Here is a 21,399-nt window from a genome sequence, read left to right as displayed (position 1 = left end):
CAAACCTTTCCAGTGCTCTCCTAACAAATCTAAGCTCCTTCCTGCCTCACGGGGTCTGGCTCCTGCTTGCCTCTCCACTGCAGCCCATGGCCACCCACGGGCTCCGGCCAGCACTGTCCTGTCACCTGGAACTTCCTCCCCACCCCTCCTGCAGCTGGCCGCTCTTCAGCACTTGCTTTAGGGCCACGGCTGCTTCCTCAGAGAGCCTCTCACCACGACCCTGTCTTGGGTGAGCTCAGAGGAGGAGATCTCGGCTTGAGCTTCAACCCCAAGTCCCAGCTCTGCAGGGAGGGAGGGTCTTTAGTGTCCTCTGGCCCTCCTAGCTCACTACTTGGTGAGCATGACAGTGTGTGATGGACTGAGGGGGTAACTGCCCACTCCTTCCTCCAGCTGTGACCTCTGCCCTTCCTACCCCGGCTGTTCCTGCGTTGGGAGGGGCCCTAACCGTCAGTGCCTTCCTGCTTTGGGACTCAGTGCCTCCCAGTGCAGGAACACCGAGATATGGCACGTGGTGCTTTGCATACTTTATCTCATCGAATTCTCACGCAGGCCTGGCCAGATGAGATATTTACATTCCCATCTTACAAATGAGAAAACGGGTGCTTGGAGAGAGAACGTGGGTTCCCCACCATCAGCCAGGGAGAGTCATGGAGCTGGGCGCAAACCCAGGCATGCCTCTGAGGCCACACCCTTCCCACCTTGCCTGTGGGCTCTGGCCCCTGGCGTGCTGGGGCAGGGTGCAGGGTTCTCCTGGGGTTGGCTTTGATGGTGGAACCCCCCCTTCTGCTTCTTTCTCATCCTCCGTCCTAGGAACTCAGGCTTCTCCGCCTTTGCCCTGCAAGGCTGGTGCCCCTGTGTGTGGCAGGCTGGAGCTGGGGTGCTGCCCTCCAGGAGGGAGAGGCTGAATCACCAGCTGCTGCTGCTGCGTGGGGAGAGGTGGGGTGGGGAGACAGCCGCCATGGTGGGTGAGGGAGTGAGTGCAAGTGTGTGTGAGTGACATGTACACACACTCGCCCAGATGCACACACATGCACACACAGGCAAGGATGTACTGTTGCCACCGAGGAGGAGGGTACGTGGAGTCGTGTGTGCACATGCATTAAAACACACGCACTTACCCAGATGCATAGCTGTGCGCACACCTGGACATACTCAGTTTACTCCGAGAGTGGTGGATGTAAGGGGTGTGTTTGCATGCATGTGTACACGCTCACACATGTACTTAACTAGATGTGCATATGGTCACATGCATGTACCTCTCTGGATGTGCACACACATGTACTTAGTTGGATATGTACATGTTCACACATATGTGCACATGCTCACGCACGTACTTACCTAGACACACACTAACACATACGTACCTAGATATGCACACACGCACACGTACTTACCTAGACACACATGCACACGTACTTTCCTAGATGTGCACACATAGAGTCATGCCATCTGCTTCTGAGGGTGAGCAGGGCTCTCGCCTGTGCTCACACCCTCCTGTGTACACTCTGCCCCTAGCCTCACTGGGACTTGCATCTTCATCTTCTATTTTTATTTTTATTTTATTAATTTAATTTTTAATTTTCTTAATATTTTTATAGAGATGAGGTCTCCCTATGTGACCCAGGCTGGTCTTGAACTCCTGGCATCAGGTGATCCACCTGCCTTGGCCTCCCGAAGTGCTGGGATTACAGGCATGAGCCATGGTGCCCTGCCCAGCCTGTTAATTTCTAATTCCCTTCCCTCCCCTCCCCTCTGCTCCCTTCCCTCCCCTCCCCTCCCTTCCCTTCCCTTCCCTCCCCTCCCCTCCCCTCCGCTCCCTTCCCTCCCCTCCCCTCCCCTCCACTCCCCTCCGCTCCCTTCCCTTCCCTTCCTTCCCTTCCCTTCCCTCCCGTCCCTTCCCTTCCCTCCCCTCCCCTCCCCTCCCTTCCCTTCCCTTCTCTTCCCTTCTCTTTTCTCCTTTCCTTCGCCTTCCCTTGTTTGCTATACTCTCTATGTGAGGCCTGGTACACAATAGGTGCTCAGTAAATGATTGAAGACCTGCGTTTCTCTTCCAACCTTGCCACTGAATGGTTGGGTTCCCCTGAACAAATCCTTTACCCTCTCTGGGCCTCAGTTTCCCCGCCTCATGGCTGGGGATGATTTGCCGCTGCTAGGTGGGCTTATGGGTCCTGGCCTGGGGTTGGTACCATGTGAGCCCTCTCCTGGAGACCCCTGGTCCTCAAATACAACTGGCGCTTGAGATTTAGGGTTTCACAGAGTGCAGAGGGGCTGTCTTAGGGCCGCTCATGGAACTGCTCGGAGGAGGTGGTCCAGAAACACCACTCATGCCTGCCCGGCACGCAGTGGATGACCCCGTGGAAGCCTAGACGCCCTCCGTTGAAGGCATCAGGCGGGGTGGATCAGCCGCCTCTCAGAAAACCCTTTCAGTGGGACGGGGCAGGCTGTGTCCCCACAGGAGCGAGAACCGGGCCGCAGGCAGGACTGAGGAATTCCATCTGCCTGTAATCCCTGCGTGTAGGCTTCTCTCGGGAGGATAAACTTGGGTCTAGGAAATCTCTTTAGATTCCACCCCCACCCCAGGCCCCGCCCAGATATTTTCTTTTCTGGGCTGGACGTCTGCACTTCATCCCCCTCTGTGGGACGGGATAGGAGCAGGACAATCCCCAGGGCCGGGTTCCTCGATTCTGGGGCACATTCTGGCCACGGAGCTTTCTGGAAACCCTGTTCCCACAGTGTTGTTACGAAGATGGCTTTGGCCTGGAAAGCCTGTCCCGGCCCCACGACCTCGACCGTCCTGCAGCTCAGACAATGCATCAGTATGAAAACAGGAGACAGGAAGTGGGGGCTGCAAAATGAGAGGCTTTCCCGGAATCCCAAGAGGGGAAGGGGAAGAGCAGCCTGGCATGTGCACAGGCAGAGCCCGTGAGAGGTCACCCCCATGCAGCCCTGGGGAGGGGCCCTGCTCGCTGTCCCCCTTTCTCCCAAGGCCTCCTGAAGCGGCCTGTGTGTATGGAACCACCTGTATCCTGCCTAGTCTGATTCTTCACCTGCCAAAGATGGGAAGTCCCGTCGAGCCTGGACAGGCAAAGCTCTTTCAGCCAAGAGACTGGGACCCCAACCTCGTTCCTTGAAGAGAAGCGGCTTCTGGTTCCTGCAAAGGGAGAGCCCAGGGTCCTTGCCGGAGCCGTGAGGCCCTGGGCCAGTCTCTCCTCTATGAAGTAAACTACTTTTAGCATGGATCTCAAAAGCTAAGTCCCATTGAGGCCGGGCGCGGTGGCTCACACCTGTCATCCCAGCACTTTGGGAGATGGAGGCAGGTGGGTCACCTGAGGTCAGGAGTTTGAGAGGTCAGCCTTGCCAACATGGTGAAACCCTGTCTGTACTAAAAATACAAAAATTAGCCAGGTGTGGTGGCTGATGTCTGTAATCCCAGCTACTCGGGAGGCTGAGGCAGGAGAATTGCTTGAAGCCTTGAGGCGGAGGCTGCAGTGAGCCAAGATCGCGACACTGCACTCCAGCCTGGGCAACAAGAGTGAAACTCCATCTTTCTTTAAAAAAAAAAAGTTCCATTGGGGCCGGGTGCTGTGGCTCATGCCTGTCATCCCAGCACTTTGGGAGGTCAAGACAGGAGGATCGCTTGAGACTAGCCTGGGCAACATAGCAAGACACCATTTCTACAAATAATAATAAAAAAATTTAGCCAGGCATACTGGTGGTGGTGCACCTGTGGTCCCAGATACTCAGGAGGCTGAGATGGAGGGATTGCTTGAGCCTGGGTGGTCGAGGCTGCAGTGAGCTATGGTCACGCCACTATACTCCAGCCTGGGTGACAGAGAAAGACCCTATCTCAAAAAAAAAAAAAAAAAAAAAAGGGTTGGGCGCAGTGGCTCACGCCTATAATCCCAGCACTTTGGGAGGCCAAGAGGGGTGAATAACGAGGTCAGGAGATCGAGACCATCATGGCTAACACGCTGAAACCCCATCTCTACTAAAAATACAAAAAAATTAGCCGGGCATGGTGGCAGGCACCTGTAGTCCCAGCTACTCGGGAAGCTGAGGCAGGAGAATGGCATGAACCCGGGAGGCGGAGCTTGCAGTGAGCTGAGATCACGCCACTACACTCCAGCCTGGGCGACAGAGCGAGACTCCGTCTCAAAAAAAAAACAAAAAACAAAAAAAACAAGCCCTATTGACCCCACCGGTGGCTGGCTGAGGCACTTTATTTGGTCACAATTCCTGTAGCTTGCAGACTCCAGTGGGCTCTGTCTTGTGACCTCGCCCATCTCACTTGAAACTGTTTCTGCCTCCACTGCAGTCTCCATCATGGAACACGAGGTCATCGTAATTCAGATGGCGCTTCACAAGTCTAGGCTTGGGAAGGCAGCACCACTGACCCCTTCCTGACCGGCACGGGGCTCTCTCTTAGATTCCACCCCGACCCCAGGACCCGCCCAGATATTTTCTTTTCTGGGCTGGACGTCTGTACTTCATCCCCGTGTGGGACGGGACAGGACCAGGACAATCCCCAGGGCTGGGTTACTCGATTCTGGGGCACATTCTGGGCTGCGGTTGGCAGAGATCATCCTGCCTTTCTCGCCGGCCACCTCTGATCCCACGTCTTCAGCCCCAAAACCATCCCTGCACCTGCCGATCACAGAGCGACTGTGAGTAGCTGAGCGGTCGTCTGGTCATGACAGTTTATATGGCGTGAGGATGTGGGGCTCCGACTTCTGTCCCGACTACATTTTTGTTCATTTGCTCATTCATTTCTCGTTTGTTCGCTTGGTTCTTTTTTTTTTTTTTTTGAGACGGAGTCTTGCTCTGTCCCCCAGGCTGGAGTGCAGTGGCACGAGCTCACTGCAACTTCCGCCTCCTGGGTTCAAGCGATTCTCCTGCCTCAGCCTCCCGAGTAGCTGGGATGACAGGTGCCCACCACCACGCCTGGCTAATTTTTGTATTTTTAATAGAGATGGGGTTTCACCATTTTGGCCAGGCTGGTCTCGAACTTCTGACCTCAGGTGATCCACCCACCTTGGCCTCCCAAAGTGCTGGGATTACAGGTGTGAGCCACCATGCCCGGCCCTTCACCTGGTTCTTGAGTGCACCTGGCACTGTGTCTCTGAGATGGGGGCAGTAACGAACTCGTGCAAGACATCATCTTGGGAACACGTGATGTGAGCTCTCACAGAGGTCTGAGCAGAATGCACTGGAGGTGGGTGGGGGAAGGGGAAGGGGACCCAAAACTTCCTATGGAGGTGGCATTGAAACAGGCTTTAAAGTATATGTAGGAGTTCGCCAGGCACATCGCCTGGGGCCTGGGCATTAGGGGAAGGAGGCCCCACATCCTTCTCTCCTTGGCAAGCTACTCTGACTCCAGGCTAGTCTCTTTGGGGTTGGCTTTGTGGGATCTGTTGGAGCTGAGCGTCCAGACGAGACCTGATGTCTTGGTCCGGGGTCTAAACCCTGGAGCTTGTGTCTTGGTCCCGGGTCTAAACTCTAGCCCTCTGTGGGCCATTCCCAAGTCCGGGTCTCACTGTTTTTTCTTTTTTTTGAGATGGAGTCTCGCTCTCTCGCCCAGGCTGGAGTGCAGTGGTGCGATTTCAGCTCACTGCAAGCTGTGCCTCCCGGGTTCATGTGATTCTCCTGCCTCAGCCCCCCGAGTAGCTGGGACTACAGGCGCACACCACCAAGTCCAGTTAATTTTTTTGTATTTTTAGTAGAGACAGGGTTTTACCGTGTTAGCCAGGATGGTCTCCATCTCCTGACCTCGTGATCTGCCCACCTCGGCCTCCCAAAGTGCTGGGATTACAGGCGTGAGCCACCACGCCCGGCCGAGTCCAGGTCTCGCGGTTATCGCAAAGGCAGTACATCCCAAACCCAATGCATGCTGTCCATATTAAAAACAAAAGCAAAAATGAAACATAAGATGGATGTTGTGGGGGTGTGGGGGACATGGAACCCTTGTGCGCTGCTGTCGGGAATGTGAGTTGGTACAGCCACAGTGGAAGGAAGCTTGGCATTTCCCAGGAAAGTTAAACATGCAGTGACCACAGGACCCAGCAGTGCCACTCCTAGGTACACAGCCCGAAGAATTGAGAACAGGTCTTCAAACACACGCCTCTACATGAGCGTTTGGAGCAGCACTGCTTACAGGAGCCACGATGTGAAAACCTCGCACGTCCGTCAGCTCGAGAGGACAAACAGTGTGGCCTCTCCACGCAAGGGAAGTCCCTCAGCCACAGAAAGGAGTGAATCACCTGACACGCAGCACAGCGCGGACGAACCTGGGACACGTAATGCCAGTGAAATGAGCCAGACGCAACAGGCCAAATGCTGCGCAATTCCGCTTCTGTGAAGTAGCAGGAACAGGCAGTTGCACAGAGACAGGAAGTCGATTCGGGGCTGTCGGGGGCTGGGGCGGGTGTCGGGGGACAGCTGCTGAATGGCACAGGGTCTGCAAAGGTCCTGGATCTGGATGGAGGTGGTGGTTGCACAGCACGGTGAATGTGTCGACGTGGCTGAATTGTGCACTTTAATACAGTTGATTGTTAACTTTAAGTTATGTGACTTTTACCTCAATTAAAAAAAAAAAAAAAAGCTCGACAGGACCCACTGGCTCTCACCTGTAATCCCAGCACCTTGGGAGGCCGAGGCAGGAGGATCACTTGAGGTTAGGAGTTCGAGACCAGCTTGGCCAACATGGGGAAACCCTGTCTCTAATAAAAATACAAAAATTAGCTGGGTGTGGTGGTGGGCGCCTGTGGTCCCAGCTACTCGGGAGGCTGAGGCAGGAGAAAGGTGTGAAACCGGGAGGCGGAGCTTGCAGTGAGCCGAGATCGCACCACTGCCCTCCAGCCTGGGCAACAGAGCGAGACTCCATCTCAAGAAAAAAAAAAAGTCCCACTCACCTGCTCAAACAAACTCCTCTTCTCAGCCCCCTCCAGCCTGCAGGGCATCTGGGATGAAGCCCCAGGTTTTCCTACTATGGGGTTGAGAACCTGCCCTTCCCTGTCCAGGGCTGTCCTGCCTCTTGCCCTCTCCCTGACTGAACGTGCGTTGAGTGCCCGGGTCGGTCTCCGGCTGTGTTCCTGCCTCCCCAACCTTCAGGAGGCAATGTGAACTGCTGAAAAATTACTCTGGTATGAGCGCAGTTTGGCCTGAGGTTTCTGTTTCTCCCGGGCGACTGCAGGGCCTCAGTGTTGATATAAACAATTTGCACTGCCGTCAGGGGAGCGGTCCCAACCAACCTCTCTCAACTCCCTGGCTTCAGGTTCCTGCCGACTCTATTATTGCTACTATTTCTAGTAATTTCTACAAAGGCCCAGAGCCCCTCACTTGTGATGCACCTGCCTTCTCTCTCTTCTCTTCTCTTCTCCTCTTCTCTTCTCCTTCTCTCTCTCTCTCTCTGTCTCTCTGTCTCTCTGTTTCTTTTTTTGAGACAGAGCTTCGCCCTTGTTGCCCAGGCTGGAGTGCCATGGCGCGATCTCAGCTCACTGCAACCTCCACCTCCTGGGTTCAATCGATTCTCCTGCCTCAGCCTCCCAAGTAGCTGGGATTACAGGCGTGCGCCACCACATGTGGCTAATTTTTGTATTTTTAGTAGAGATGGGGTTTCACCATGTTGGTCAGGCTGGTCTCGAACTCCTGACCTCAGGTGATCTGCCTGCCTTGGCCTCCCAAAGTGCTGGGATGACAGGCATGAGCCACCATGCCTGGCCCACCTGCCATTTCTAGTGAGACCTCCTGGTTTGTGTAGGAGCAGTGGATGACGATGTGATGATTTCCCTAAGAGCGGGTCCCATACAGCCGATACCTGAGGTCGATTAGAAGGATGCAAAGGTTTGAGAAAGTATTTGCAGCGTCTCACCCTTGATTTCCGTCTCCCAGTGATTCAGCCTGGGGATGGATGTGAGCAAGGGACTCGCAGCTCCAGGGAGGCGTCTGTGCCATTCTGAGAGATTGTGAGATGGCCCGTTGTCATGGTGACCGGAGAGTGATGAGGTGTTTACTTGGCAGGGAGTTCAGGGGATGCGCCGTCCTCCGCAGGAGGTGATTGCCGGTGTTTGTAGAGCCCTGTGGTCCATCCCCTCAGCACCCTGGATTCCCCTCCCCGGGGTTTTGTCCACGAGGAGCTGCTTTTGACCGTGTGAGGTCACAGCACTGGGTTTCCAACAGCTCCCTGGAGACCTGGGCGGAGGCCACATGCCATTCAGCACACGGCAGGGCGTCCACCTCACTTTGGGCTGTCCGAAAGGACTGCGTGTAGGCGGAAGGGCGTGTGGACATGGATCCACTGGTAATGCCCAGCTCTCCTCTTCATTTGCTCTCCCTGGATGGCTGTGGTGCGCTGGGGGGCCCTGCCTGCATCTTCATCCGTGGGAGTGGAGGCACTCCCTCTCCATCAAAGCCACCCTCCTGCACCCCTCCTGACCAGGCAGGGGATTTGGAATCTCACTGCTTTTAGAGGAGATATCTCTGTTGGCAGAGAGGTCCTGATCTTGGCCTGGCCGAGTTTCCCCATCACCTGCAGGCTCATTTCACGGATGGAAACCCATTTCCACTGGCGAGTTTGGGTGGGCGCGGGACCCTTCGGGTAGGATTTGCAGTGGACTGGCCAGTTTGAGTGGGCACAGGACCCTTTGGGTAGGATTTGCAGCGCAGTGGACAGTTTGGGTGGGCGCGGGACCCTTCGGGTAGGATTTGCAGCGGACTGGCCAGTGTGGGTGGGCGTGGGACCCTTCGGGTAGGATTTGCAGCGGACTGGCCAGTGTGGGTGGGCGTGGGACCCTGTGGGTAGGATTTGCAGCGGACTGGCCAGTGTGGGTGGGCGCGGGACCCTTCGGGTAGGATTTGCAGCAGAGCCGATGGGCCGCTGGGAAGAATTCCCAAGTGCAGGCTGAGAGGAGCCTGTGGTGGCTGGCAGTGGAGACACCAGCCGCCAGGCCCGCTGAGGAGGATGCAGTGGAGACCGGTCAGCCTTGGAGCTGGCACCCATTTGTGCAGCTGGACACAGGACTGCTGGGTGTTGTGTTTTTTTGTTTTTTTTTACAGCCCCAGGCATCAGGCCTCTGAGCGTCTGAGAAGCACCAGCCCCTTCCTGAGGAGCCCCGTCTTCTGGGTGTGCAGCTGGTGGGGGCATTCCTTCTGGGACTTGTTATTTATTTAGGTGGTTTTAGTGGTATTTATGTCTGCACAGTGGCACACAGTAGTTTACTTTTATTATGACATAGTTCCTTCCAATTTGTTTGTGTTGTGTTAACATTACAGCAACATGCACGAAGCTGAAGAAATTCCACCCTGATCCCAATAGCTCAGCACTTGAAATTTGTTGTTGTTGTTGTTAATGGCTTCTTATTTAATTTCTTTTTTTCCAACTTTTATTTTAGGTTTGGGGGTACGTGTGCAGGTTTGTTACGTGGGGATGCGGCGTGATGCTGAGGTCTAGGGTATGGATGGCCCCAGCAGCTGGGTAGTGAGCATAGCACCCAGCCGTCGCTTTTCAGCCCTCGCTCCCTTCCTCTCTCAGCTCTTTTTTTTTTTGAGACAGAGTCTCACTCTGTCACCCAGGCTGGAGTGCAATAGCATGATCTCAGCTCACTGCAACGTCTGCCTCCTGGGTTCAAGCGATTCTCCTGCCTCGGCCTCCAGAGTAGCTGGGATTACAGGAGCACACCACCACGCCTGGCTAATTTTTGTATTTTAGTAGAGACGGGGTTTCACCATGTTGCCCAGGGTGGTCTCGAACTCCTGGCCTCAAGTGATCCTCCTGCCTTGGCCTCCCGAAGTGCTGGGATTACAGACGTGAGCCCACCGTGCCTGGCCTCCCTCCCTCAGCTCTTTAAAAACTGTGTTCTCGGCCAGGCGCGGTGGCTCATGCCTGTAATCCCAGCACTTTGGGAGGCCGAGGCGGGCGGATCACGAGGTCAGGAGATTGAGACCATCCTGGTTAACATGGTAAAACCCAGTTCTCTACTAAAAATACAAAAAAATTAGCCAGGCTTGGTGGTGGGTGCCTGTAGTCCCAGCTACTCGAGAGGCTGAGGCAGGAGAATGGCGTGAACCTGGGAGGCGGAGCTTGCAGTGAGCTGAGATTGCACCACTGCACTCCAGCCTGGGCAACAGAACGATACTCTGTCTCAAAAAAAAAGTCTTCTCTTTGGGTCTTTTTTTATATGCAGGCTCTCCTCCCCCTCCCCTCCTTATCCTCCCCATCTTTTTCTTTTGTTGCATGGTTGTAGTCAAAGTCTAGATAAAATACTAAGTAAGAAAAGAAGGAAAGTGTTTACAATTTTAATGTATCCTGGGTTACTCTGTGATGTGAATTTCAAATTTTGTTTTCTTCAAAAATTGAAATAATTTTTTTGTTTATTATTATGTTTTTGGATTCTAGCATTTCCATTTGGCTTTAAAAACATTGCCAGGTGCAGTGGCTCACGCCTGTAATCCCAGCACTTTGGGAGGCTGAGGTGGGTGGATCACAAGGTCAGGAGATCGAGACCATCCTGGCTAATATGATGAAGCCCCGTCTCTACTAAAAATACAAAAAATTAGCCGGGTGTGGTGGTGGGCGCCTGTAGTCCCAGCTACTTGGGAGGCTGAGGCAGGAGAATGGCATGAACCTGGGAGGCAGAGGCAGAGCTTGCAGTGAGCCGAGATCGCGCCACTGCACTCCAGCCTGGGTGACAGAGCGAGACTCTGCCTCAAAAAAAAAAAATTTTTTTTTCTTTTTAGTTCTGTTCCAGTGTTCTCAATTTTGTCTTTTATTTCCTCAAACATACTGAGCAGAATTATTTTAAAGTCTTTGTCCACAAATTCCATGATTTGCTTCCCCTGGGGGGATCTCTTTGTATTGTCTGTTGCTTCTCTTGATTTTTGATCACATGATCTTGCCTCTTTGATATTTATTTAACAAATATGTATTAAGCATTTACTGTATGCAGGCGCTGTTTTAAGCACCAGAGATTTAGCAGTGAATCAAGCCCAGGCAGTATTCTAGTGAGGGAGACAGACAATAACCATGGTTAAGACGCAAAATACGTCAGATAGGTAACTGTGAGATTGCTGCTCACAGCAATACGTAACTGCTGAGAGGACCGCAGAGCTCTGGAGGGGGAGGAGAGGCGTATTGGGAGGGTTTTCCTGCACTGAGAAGGTCACATTTCAGTGGAGACTTGGGGAGGGAAGGGAGGGAGCCCTGAGACATTGAGGAAGGCTGTCCTTGGCAGATAATTGCAAGTGAAAGGCGGAAGTGTGTTTCGTGTGGGAGGACAGCAGAGAGCCCTGGGGCAGGTGAGGGGTATGGGGCTGAGGGCAGATCACGCAGGGCCTTGCTGGCTGACATAAACAATTCTGTTTCAACTCAGATCGGAGGCCATTGGAGGGTTCCAGTGGGCAGGGGAGTGTGCAATCTGTCTTGTATTTTTTTTTTTTTTGAGATGGAGTCTCACTCTGTTGCCCAGGCTGGAGTGCAGTGGCACAATCTTGGCTCACCGCAACCTCCACCTCCCGGATCAAGCAATTCTCCTGTCTCAGCCCCCTGGGTAACTGGGATTACAGGCACATGCCACCACGCCCAGCTACTTTTTTTGTATTTTTCTAGTAGAGATGGGGTTTTGCCATGTTAACCAGGTTGGTCTCGAACTCCTGACCTCAGGTGATCCGCCCGCCTTGGCCTCCCAAAGTGCTGGGGTTACAGGTGTGAGCCACCGTGCTCAGCTTTTTTTTTTTTTTTTTTTTTTTTGAGGTGGAGTGTTGGTTTGTCGCCCAGGCTGGAGTGCAGTGGCATGATCTTGGCTCATTGCAACCTCTCCCTCCTGGGTTCAAATGATTCTCCTGCCTGAGCCTCCCGAGGAGCTGGAATTACAGGTGCCTGCCACCATGCCCGGCTAATTTTTGTATTTTTGGTAGAGATGAGGTTTCATCATATTGGCCAGGCTGGTCTTGAACTGCTGACCTCAGGTGATCCGCCTGCCTCGGCCTCCCAAAGTCCTGGGATTACAGGCATGAGCCACCATGCCCGGCCGGTAATGCCTTTTTTTCTGGCTGCATTTTAGGTTCTTCTCTGTCTTTAGCTCCTGCGGTTTACCACGCTATGCTGGTTTATCCTGTGTGGGAGTTTGTGTTCTTGTTGAATCTGTGGCCTGATGTCTTTAATTAGTTTAGGAAAATTCTTCATCATGATCTCTTCAAACGTTGCTTCTGCCATATTCTCTCCCCTCCATCTGGAACTCGAATTCACATAAACTGGAGCTTTTTGCCATAGTCCACATGCTCTTCAGCACTTTTCTGTAGCTGCTTTCCTTTCCTGTCTTTGTACTGCAGTCTGGATATTTTCATCTATTTTCCAGGTTATTAATTTCTTCCCTTGTGTTTCTCATCTGCTGTTAAACCCATCCACCAAGTTCTTAGTTCCAATTTTTATGTTTTTTTGATTCTAGCATTTCCACGTGCCTTATAGTTTTTTTTCTTAGTTTCGTGCCAGTGTTCTCAATTTCATCTTTTATTTCCTTGAACATACTGAGCATAATTATTTTAAAGTCTATGTCCATTAACTCCATGATCTGCATCCCCTGAGGGGATCTTTTTGTATTGTCTTTTGCTTCTCCTGGGTTTTGATTACATGATCTTGTCTCTTTGTATCTGAGTTGTTTTTGATTGAGTTCCCAACATTACATATGAAAAATTAAAGAGAAAATTTGAGGCTGATATATTCCTTTTGAGAGAATGTATAATTGCTTTGGAAAAATGGCTAGCCTAGGGGTGCTAGTAATCCTGGATCACCCTTATCCAATTAGGGACTGAGATGATTTGAGCTGAGATTCAGTCCCAGGGAGGCTGGCTTAATCCCAGCTCATCTTTCTTTCTAGTGTCCACACAAAATCTTCTGGGCCAAAGCACAAAATCTGGAGGATTTACTAGGATTTCTTTTCCTAGGCAGGCCATAAGTTCCAGTTTTGATCTTTCCTACCTCTGCAAATGTGTTGAAACCTCAGCCTGTCAGCTTCTCGGCTGCTTGTTGTAGACACTTCTTGTGGTTCCAACTGCTGTGTTCATCTCTCTGGGTTTCTGTCTTCTCCTTGAAATTGGCCTTGTAATTAATTCTTCTCTGCTGTGGTAGCTCTCTGATGCTTTCAAAAATATGTTTTTAACCTTTCATCAAGGTTTTCTAGTTGATCTCTCCAGAAAGCTCAATCTAAACAACCTAGTCAGTCATTAACAGGAGTAAAAACCTGATTTATACTTTAATAAAATCTCTAACTGCAAGAACAACCATGTCAATATTCTAGATGAGAGATGAATGCTGGCTTGGGTCAGAGTGGTAGTAAATAATAACTAAAATTTTCAGCACCCTCTGTTGACTTTGGGCAATGCCAGATGACCCCACCTTCTCTCTCCATCTTCCCAGTATAGTTGTATCACCATTTTAAAATCTTTTACTATTTCCTTTCTAAAATCCTAAATTTTAAATGATACACTAACCCCTTTACAATTTCATTGTGAACTGTATTCTTTAATTCTCCATTTTTTTTTTTTCTGAGACATAATCTCGCTCTGTCGCCCAGGCTGGAGTGCAGTGGTACGATTTCGGCTCACTGCAAGCTCCACCTCCCATGTTCACACCATTCTTCTGCCTCAGCCTCCCGAGTAGCTGGGACTACAGGTGCCCACCACCACGCCCAGCTAATTTTTTTGTATTTTTAGTAGAGACGGGGTTTCACTGTGTTAGCCAGGATGGTCTCAATCTCCTGACCTCGTGATCCGCCCACCTTGGCCTCCCAAAGTGCTGGGATTACAGGTGTGAGCCACCACACCTGGCCGATTCTCCATTTTAAAAGGCAAAGGTCTTCACATATCCACCCTGCTTAGCTTTCCTTTTCAAAATTTTATTATGTTTTTGTTATCTGAACTTTTCATTTTGCATTGTCCATATTGATAATATTTATATATTTTTTAAAAAACTAGAATTATGCCTTTTATGCTTTGTAAGTAAATTCTGAAAGTTAAAAAGTATTGATCAAGTATACTGGGGAAATGCCTTTGTTATAACTACAAACATGAATGCTAGTTTAGCTGGGTATAAAAGTCTAGGTTGAAAGGAAGTTTCCTTCAGAATGTTGGAGGCTTCGTTTCATTGTCCTCTAGTATCTAGTGTTTCTTTTGAGAAGTTTGAGCCATTCTTATTGTCAGTCCTTTGTAGGTGAACTGACTTTTCTCTATGGGAGCTTTTGGAAAATTCTTATCCCTGGAAGTACAGTGTAAGAGATCCTTTTACTAGGACTGAAAATCTTGTGGGCTCTGTCAACCAAGACACTCATGTTCTTCAGTTTAGAGAAATTTTTCTTTTATTTCTGACAAGTTTCTATTTTATTTTACTTTCTGGAACTGCTGTTAATCAGATATTGAGCCTCCTGGAATGTTTTTGGTATATATATACATATATATATATATATGTATGTATATATATATATGTGTATATATATATGTATACATATATATACGTATATATACGTATATATACGTATATATACGTATATATATATGTATACATATATATACGTATATATACGTATATATGTATATATAAAACGTGTTATATGTGTGTGTATATATATATAACATGTTATATATATGTATATACAGACATGGTTTTTCTCTGTCTTTGTCTCTTTTTAAGATATTTTCATGTTGTATCTTCCTACTGTTATGTGTATGTTATATGTGTAACATGAATTATATTAATTAATATAAAAGGTTACATTCATGGACCTCCCAACATCACCACATTGAGGATCAAATTTCAGGAGGGACAAACCACATCCAACTCATGGCAGATGGTAATGGGGATTGTGGTTATGTTTTAACAAGTGTATTTTAGAGCTAGATATTGAAGTATTTAAAATGAAATGCTGTATCTGAGATTTGCTTCCATCCTCTGTGTGTGTGTGTGTGTGTGTGTGTGTCTGTGTGAAGTGGGTGGAGGTGAAATGAAATAGGACTGGCTCCATTTTGATAATGGTTGAGGGTGGGTGATGGACGTTTGGTGATTCATTGTATTACTCTGTCTACTCTTGTGTAGTTTGGGAATTTCCACTGTAAAAGGGAAGAGAAGGAGCAGCCACAGGACACCTGGGCTCCTGGCCTTGGGGGGCTGCCTGGCTCCCAGGCTTCCGAGCTCCTGTGGTCCTGGGTCTGGATCTTGATGACTTTCACCACCTCTGTCCTCTGCTCTGTGGGGCTCTGCAGCAGAACCGTTCCCTCCGTGGATCCGGGAGAACCTGCTTCACATACCCCGGGCTGCTGCGTACTTCGTCTGAATGTCAAATTCCATGCTTCAGGTCATTGTCTGTTTTCCAGAAATCTCAGATAGCGTTCCTGCCATTCTGGTCATTGTGGTAGATGTATATATGCATATATTTTTATTTTGCTGTCATTCGAGAGGTCGCTAGAGGGAAAAGAGGAAACGTGCACTTTCCATCTGCCATTTTTTTTGGGGAAGCTCCGTCAAGATATATTTAAATGATCGCATAAAGCTTCACCCGGCAATCCCCGTGTACTCAGCGTCTTCCCGGCTGGGCAATTAGCATCTGATAGGTGTTTGAGGAGACAGAATTGGCTGGCACAGGCAGAGGTGGGCATTGGTGCACGTGGAGGTGGGCATTGGAGCACATGGAGGTGGGCATTGGTGTACACAGAGGTGGGCATCAGCACACACGTAGAGGTGGGCATTGGTGCACGTGGAGGTGGGCATTGGAGCACATGGAGGTGGGCATCGGCATACACAGAGGGCATCAGCACACGTGTGGAGGTGGGCATTGGTGCATGTGGAGGTAGGCGTTGGCATATGCAGAAGTGGGCATTGGCACACGGAGATGGGCATCAGTGCACGTGGAGGTGGGCATTGGCACACATGGAGGTGGGCATCAGCTGCAGAAGAAGTGGGGGCCTCTGGGGAAACTGCCCTTGGCTGTGATTGACAGACGGCCACATCGGGCTGGGTGAGGAGCGGGTGGGATTGTTTCTGAGGGAGCAACAAGCAGCTCTCCAGGCTGCCCTTCCGTGGGGAGTGGGTGCCGTGCCTGGCACGTGGCAGGTGGGCCAGGAGTGGGGCTTGAGGCCGGTATTGGTCAGGGCGTCTCTGTGACTGCATCCCGCTGCTCCATGTGGGTGCCGGCCAGGCCCACTCTGGTCTGTGGGGACCCTTCACTCATGTCCACCACCCACAGGATGGATGGCGGCTGGCATTCAGCAGGAGCTCCCACCCATGTCCCAGTTTTAACAGGCTGGGGAGACAGTCATTTGTTTACTGGAGGTTCCTGGAACAGGAGGAATGGCTACAGAGTCCGCAGGAAGCCAGGGCGGGCTGGGGTCTCAGACTCCTCTCCTGCATCCTCTACCTTGGTGTGATCTGGTGATCACCTCACCCACCTGGACCGGTGCACCTGGCTGACTTTAAATGGCCAATTCTCAGAAATCCTTGGGTTCAATATTTGGAACCAATAAGCAAACCATTTGCTTAAAGGGATGGTTTTTGAAAGTCAAGGAAGGGGATACCCAGACATAGGGCTGGTGGCACCCCGGCCTTGGCATTCACGTGGTGTCTGCATCTGTCAGACCCCAGGACCCCAGAGCTCCTGTACCCCTGGAGAGTGAGCATCTCAGAGCCGTGGTCTCAGCCTTGTCACAGGTGGGCACGTCTGGGTCTTGGGATGTCAGAAGGCATTGGTAGGGAACTTGGCCTGGTTGCCCCTGAATTCCTCCTCCACCTCCTGGTCCATGACGCAAGGCCCTGCCTGATAGGGCCGCCATCTTTTTTCGGGAAGCTCCCGAGCTGTGGGGGACCAAAGCCCTCAGAGGACCGGCAGGAAAGCCAGGGGATGGATCAGGGTGAGGCCGGGAGGGAGAGCGAGGGCCTTGTGTGCCTGATCTGTGTGAGGGGTTGGGGGCCGCACCCACCTCGAGGCTGAATAGGGCATGAGTGACCAAGGTGAACACTCAGGTCATGTGAGCCAGCATTGCTTCTGCACACAGAGCCATTCATATCTGTTAGGACAGGTTGAAATCTCTTTTCCTTAAAACAATTTTTTTTTTTTTTTGAGACAGAGTCTCGCTCTGTCATCCAGGCTGGAGTGCAGTGGCACGATCTCGGCTCACTGCAAGCTCACTCCCGGGTTCACGCCATTCTCCTGCCTCAGCCTCCGGAGTAGCTGGGACTACAGGTGCCTGCCACCACACCCAGCTAATTTTTTGTATTTTTAGTAGAGACAGGGTTTCACCGTGTTAGCCAAGATGGTCTCGATCTCCTGACCTCGTGATCCACCCATCTCGGCCTCCCAAAGTGCTGGGGTTACAGGCGTGAACCACCGTGCCTGGCCAACAAATTTTTTTTGAGTTATGGTCTCACTATGTTGCCCAGGCTGGTCTTGAACTCCTGGGGCCAAATGATCCTCCCTAAGTGCTGGGATTATAGGCGTGAGCCACCACACCCGGCCAGAAGCCACCACACCCAGCCTGAAGCCACCGCACTTGGCCTGAAGTCTCTTCTTACTACGATGCCAGGGACATGTGTCTTCATTTCCCCTCACAGATGAGTCCCGGTGAGGTCAAGCAACTTACTCAGGGTCACACAGCACTCTAGGAAAGGAGTGTGCTCATCTGTGGTCCCTGTGAGCTACCCGGTGTGGCCTTAGGACGAGGACTGAGCTCCTGGGCTCTCCAGGCTGCCTGGCCCTGCTGATTCCTGACTTCTCCTCTCCCTCCTCCCTGCTCCCTCCTCCCTTCTTCCTTCCTCCCTCCCTCCCCTTACTTCATTCACCCTTTTCCCAAAGAGGCAGAATTGCAGTGAGAAAGGGGCTCAGCTCAGGGCCCGGTGTGTCCTCAGACCACAGAGCCCCCTGCCTCTGGTCCTAAGCCCACCTTTGAGCGTGGTGGAGGTCAGTGTTTAGGCTGCAGGTTATGCAAACTCAGGTCCTCCAGGTGCAGGAGGAAAGGCACATTGGCCCTGGTGGGATTGAAATGCCCAGGCTGGCTAAGACCATGCCGGATGCATGAGGTTTAGAGTGGCTGAAGAGCTGGGGACAGTGGTCGAAGCACTTGTCTGTGGGCAGGAGCAAGGTCTGCAGTGGTGGTGCATCCTGCCATCCACAGCTCAAGGCAGGGTGGGCTTCGGAGCAACCCCAGCCCACGTGGAGGACACAACCATGGTCGTTCCACGGTGACTCGGGGCTCAACTTCCAGTCCCCTCCTCCCAGCAGACCTCCAGATGCTTGTCATCTCAGCCTCCATAAACCCCACACCAGTTCAGCCTCTCACTCACTTTAAAAAGCAAATTAAAGTTTTAATTTTGAGATAATTGTGGATGTGCAGGCAGTTATAAAAATTACCTGGAGAGCCTCACCCACTTTATTTTTTAATGTCTCACAAAACTGGTACATACACAGAAATGTTGACAGGTTCTTAGGAACTGCAACTTTAGGTGAACCCACTTACAGCTAATTCTTTTTTTTTTTTTTTTTATAGAGACAGGGTGTATTAGTCCATTTTCATACTGCTATAAAGAACCACCCAAGACTGCGTAGTTTACAGAGAGGTTGAATTGACTCACAGTTCTGCATGGCTCGGGGGGCCTCAGGAAACTTATGATCATAGCAGAAGGCAGCAGGGGGGAAGCAGAGCCGCTTCTTCACAAGGCAGCAGGAAGGAGAAGTGCTGAGTGAAGGGGGAGGAGTCCCTTGGAAACCCATCAGATCTTGTGAAAACTCCCTCACTATCACGAGAACAGCAAGGGGGAAACTGCCCCATGATTCAGTCGCCTCCACCTGGTCTCTCCCTGGACAAGTGGGGATGATGGGGATGATGGGGATTACAATTCAAGATGAGATTTGGTGGGGGACACAAAATGAGATTTGAGTGGGGACACAAAGTGAAATTTGGGTGGGGACAGAAAAAGAGATTTGGGTGGGGACACAAAGCCTAACCGTATGTCCAACTCCTGAGTTCAAGCGATCCTCCCACTAGTCCTCCCACAGTGCTGGGATCACAGGCATGGGCCCTGTGCCTGGCCGGGACAGCCAGGTTCTTACTTCCTTTCTGTGTTTTCCTCTCCCACACAGGAAGAAAACAGGCAGATTTTGGCGCGGCAAAAGTCAAACTCACAGTCGGACTCCCATGATGAGGAGGTGTCGCCCACCCCCCCGAACCCTGTGGTGAAGGCCCGCCGCCGGCGAGGAGGCGTGAGTGCCGAGGTGTACACCGAGGAGGACGCCGTGTCCTACGTCAGGAAGGTGAGGCTCACGGGTCACGGGGTTCCTGTCCCCAGGCCTCGGCACGTGGCTGTCACCTGTGAGCTCCCTGGAAGCCCACGGGGCACCCTCATCCTCCTGGGGGTCTCAGTGTCATCCTGGTTGGAGGGAGGACTATGTGGGTGATGGCAGAGGCAGTTCTGGGTGGGCTTGGTTTGCTACTGTCTTTGCCAGATGAGCTGAGCTCAAATTTATGGGAGCAGCTCTGTGTGGGGTCACTGCAGCCCCATGGCGGCCTTAGGTTCCTCACAGGCTCAGGAAGGGAAGGGACTCGCTGGCATCCAGGTCCTTGGAGTGAGCAGAGGCTCTGTCCTGGGCTGTGTGCCTCCCATGCTCCTGCAGCCTCTCTGGTCTCTCTCTTTTTTTTTTTTTTTTTTTTTGAAACAGAGTCTTGCTCCGTCCCCCAGGCTGGAGTGCAGTGGTGCGATCTCAGCTCACTGCAAGCTCCGCCTCCCAGGTTCATGCCATTCTCCTGCCTCAGCCTCCCGAGTAGCTGGGACTACAGGTGCCTACCACCACACCCAGCTAATTTTTTGTATTTTTAGTAAAGACGGGGTTTCACTGTGTTAGCCAGGATGGTCTCAATCTCCTGACCTTGTGATATGCCCGTCTTGGCCTCCCAAAGTGCTGGGGTTACGGGCGTGAGCCACCATGCCCAGCATCTCTGGTCTCTTCTTATACAGGCACAAATCCCATTATTCAGGGCCCTTCTCTCATGACCCCATCCAACCCCAGCCACCTCCCAAAGGCCTCTCTCCAAATACCATAGCATGGCTGGTTAGGGCTTCCATATGTGAATTTCTGGGGAGACACAAGTCAGTCCCCAGTACCCTGTTAGCCATTTCTGAGTGCACAGTTGAGTGGCGTTAAGCACATTCTCATTGTTGTGGAATCATCACCACCACCATCTCCAGAACCTTCTTACCTTGCAGAACTGAGACTCTATTCCCTAAACACGCACACCCCATTCCTTTCCGCAGTACTTAATACTTTTATAATCAGCTAATTAAAGCTAGCGCAAGCATTGTTAAAAATTTATTAGGGCACTCCACCTCTGGGGTCTTCCTCCCCAAGACCCAGAACTTCAGTCTAACCACGAGAAGAACCTCAAATAAACCTAAATTGCGGGATGCTCCGCAGAATGCCTGACCAGCCCTGCTCACGGCACACGAGGAGAGTGTGAAGAACTGTTGCAGACCGGAGGCCACGGGGGAGACAGGACGGGGTCCTGGGACAGAAAAAGGCCATTCAGGCCAAACAAAGGAAGAACAGATTAGGTGTGGAGCTCAGTGTCTGTCATGTATCGACATGGCTTCCCCAGTTGTGATAAATGCATCATAGGATGTAAGGTAGTAACATCAGGGAACTGCAAGGTGCACGAGAATGATCTTTGCAATTTCTCTGTAAATAGAAAGTATTTGAAAACAAAACATTTATATATATTTTTTTGAGATGGAGTTTCACTCTTGTTGTCCAGGCTGGAGTGCAATGGCATGATCTCAGCTCACCACAACCTCTGCCTCCCAGGTTCCTGTGATTCTCCTGTCTCAGCCTCCTGACTGGCTGGGATTACAGGTGCCTGTCATCATGCCTGGCTAATTTTTTTGTATTTTTAGTAGAGATGGGGTTTCACCATGTTGGCCAGGCGGGTCTTGAACTTCTGACCTCAGGTGATCCACCTGCCTCAGCCTCCCAAAGTGCTGGGATTACAGGTGTGAGCCACCACGCCCATCCAACACTTACATTTTTAAAAGTCTGTTAGAACTGGAGTGGCTTTTTAGGAGATTTCATTGCTGTCTCTCAAAGACGTCTGCACAGGGGCTCTCTGCGTTACACGCAGCACACCTAAGCCTGCGTGGTCCGCAGTTGCACCTGGACAGACAGGGACTTCCTGGGTGGCCCAGGCACAACAGGAGGTCTCACTGTGGCCCGAATGACCTTCCTGCGTGGTTTCATTTTAAGCGGGGGATATCCTGGCATCTGAAATGTTCGTAGTGCTTCTCATTCATCCAGAGAGGGAGTGGGGAATTGTTGATCAAAGGGTGCAGAGTTTCAGACAGACAGACAGACAGACGGGAGGAATGGGTTTTGAGATCTTTGC

General features: G+C 51.4%; 1 protein-coding gene across 9 annotated transcripts in view, besides 2 other annotated features; it reads left to right on the top strand.

Moving 5' to 3' along the window:
• Positions 1 to 21,399, top strand: part of PRKAR1B (protein kinase cAMP-dependent type I regulatory subunit beta) — a 179,738-nt gene that overhangs the window by 29,099 nt on the left and 129,240 nt on the right. For 8 of the 9 annotated variants that reach the window (XM_047420607.1, NM_001164759.1, XM_047420608.1 and 5 more), the window contains exon 3: positions 19,110 to 19,280. In XM_047420607.1, coding sequence (XP_047276563.1) covers positions 19,110 to 19,280 — 171 coding nt within the window. Of the gene's footprint in view, positions 1 to 8,028; positions 8,297 to 19,109; positions 19,281 to 21,399 lie in introns of those variants that run through there. The other variant, XM_011515446.3, reaches the window with a different exon arrangement.
• Positions 2,422 to 2,922: an enhancer, noted in NCBI's record as "H3K4me1 hESC enhancer chr7:736551-737051 (GRCh37/hg19 assembly coordinates)". NCBI's record gives its function as "activates a minimal SCP1, AML or CMV promoter by ChIP-STARR-seq in primed H9 embryonic stem cells {active_cell/tissue: H9 hESC(primed)}" and the evidence as "EXISTENCE:reporter gene assay evidence [ECO:0000049][PMID:30033119]".
• Positions 2,923 to 3,423: an enhancer, noted in NCBI's record as "H3K4me1 hESC enhancer chr7:736050-736550 (GRCh37/hg19 assembly coordinates)". NCBI's record gives its function as "activates a minimal SCP1, AML or CMV promoter by ChIP-STARR-seq in primed H9 embryonic stem cells {active_cell/tissue: H9 hESC(primed)}" and the evidence as "EXISTENCE:reporter gene assay evidence [ECO:0000049][PMID:30033119]".

The sequence above is a fragment of the Homo sapiens genome, chromosome 7 (assembly GCF_000001405.40).
Source record: "Homo sapiens chromosome 7, GRCh38.p14 Primary Assembly".
Lineage (NCBI taxonomy): Eukaryota > Metazoa > Chordata > Mammalia > Primates > Hominidae > Homo > Homo sapiens.
Note: the sequence above shows the minus strand (reverse complement) of the source record. Positions and strands in the feature narration are given on the sequence as shown.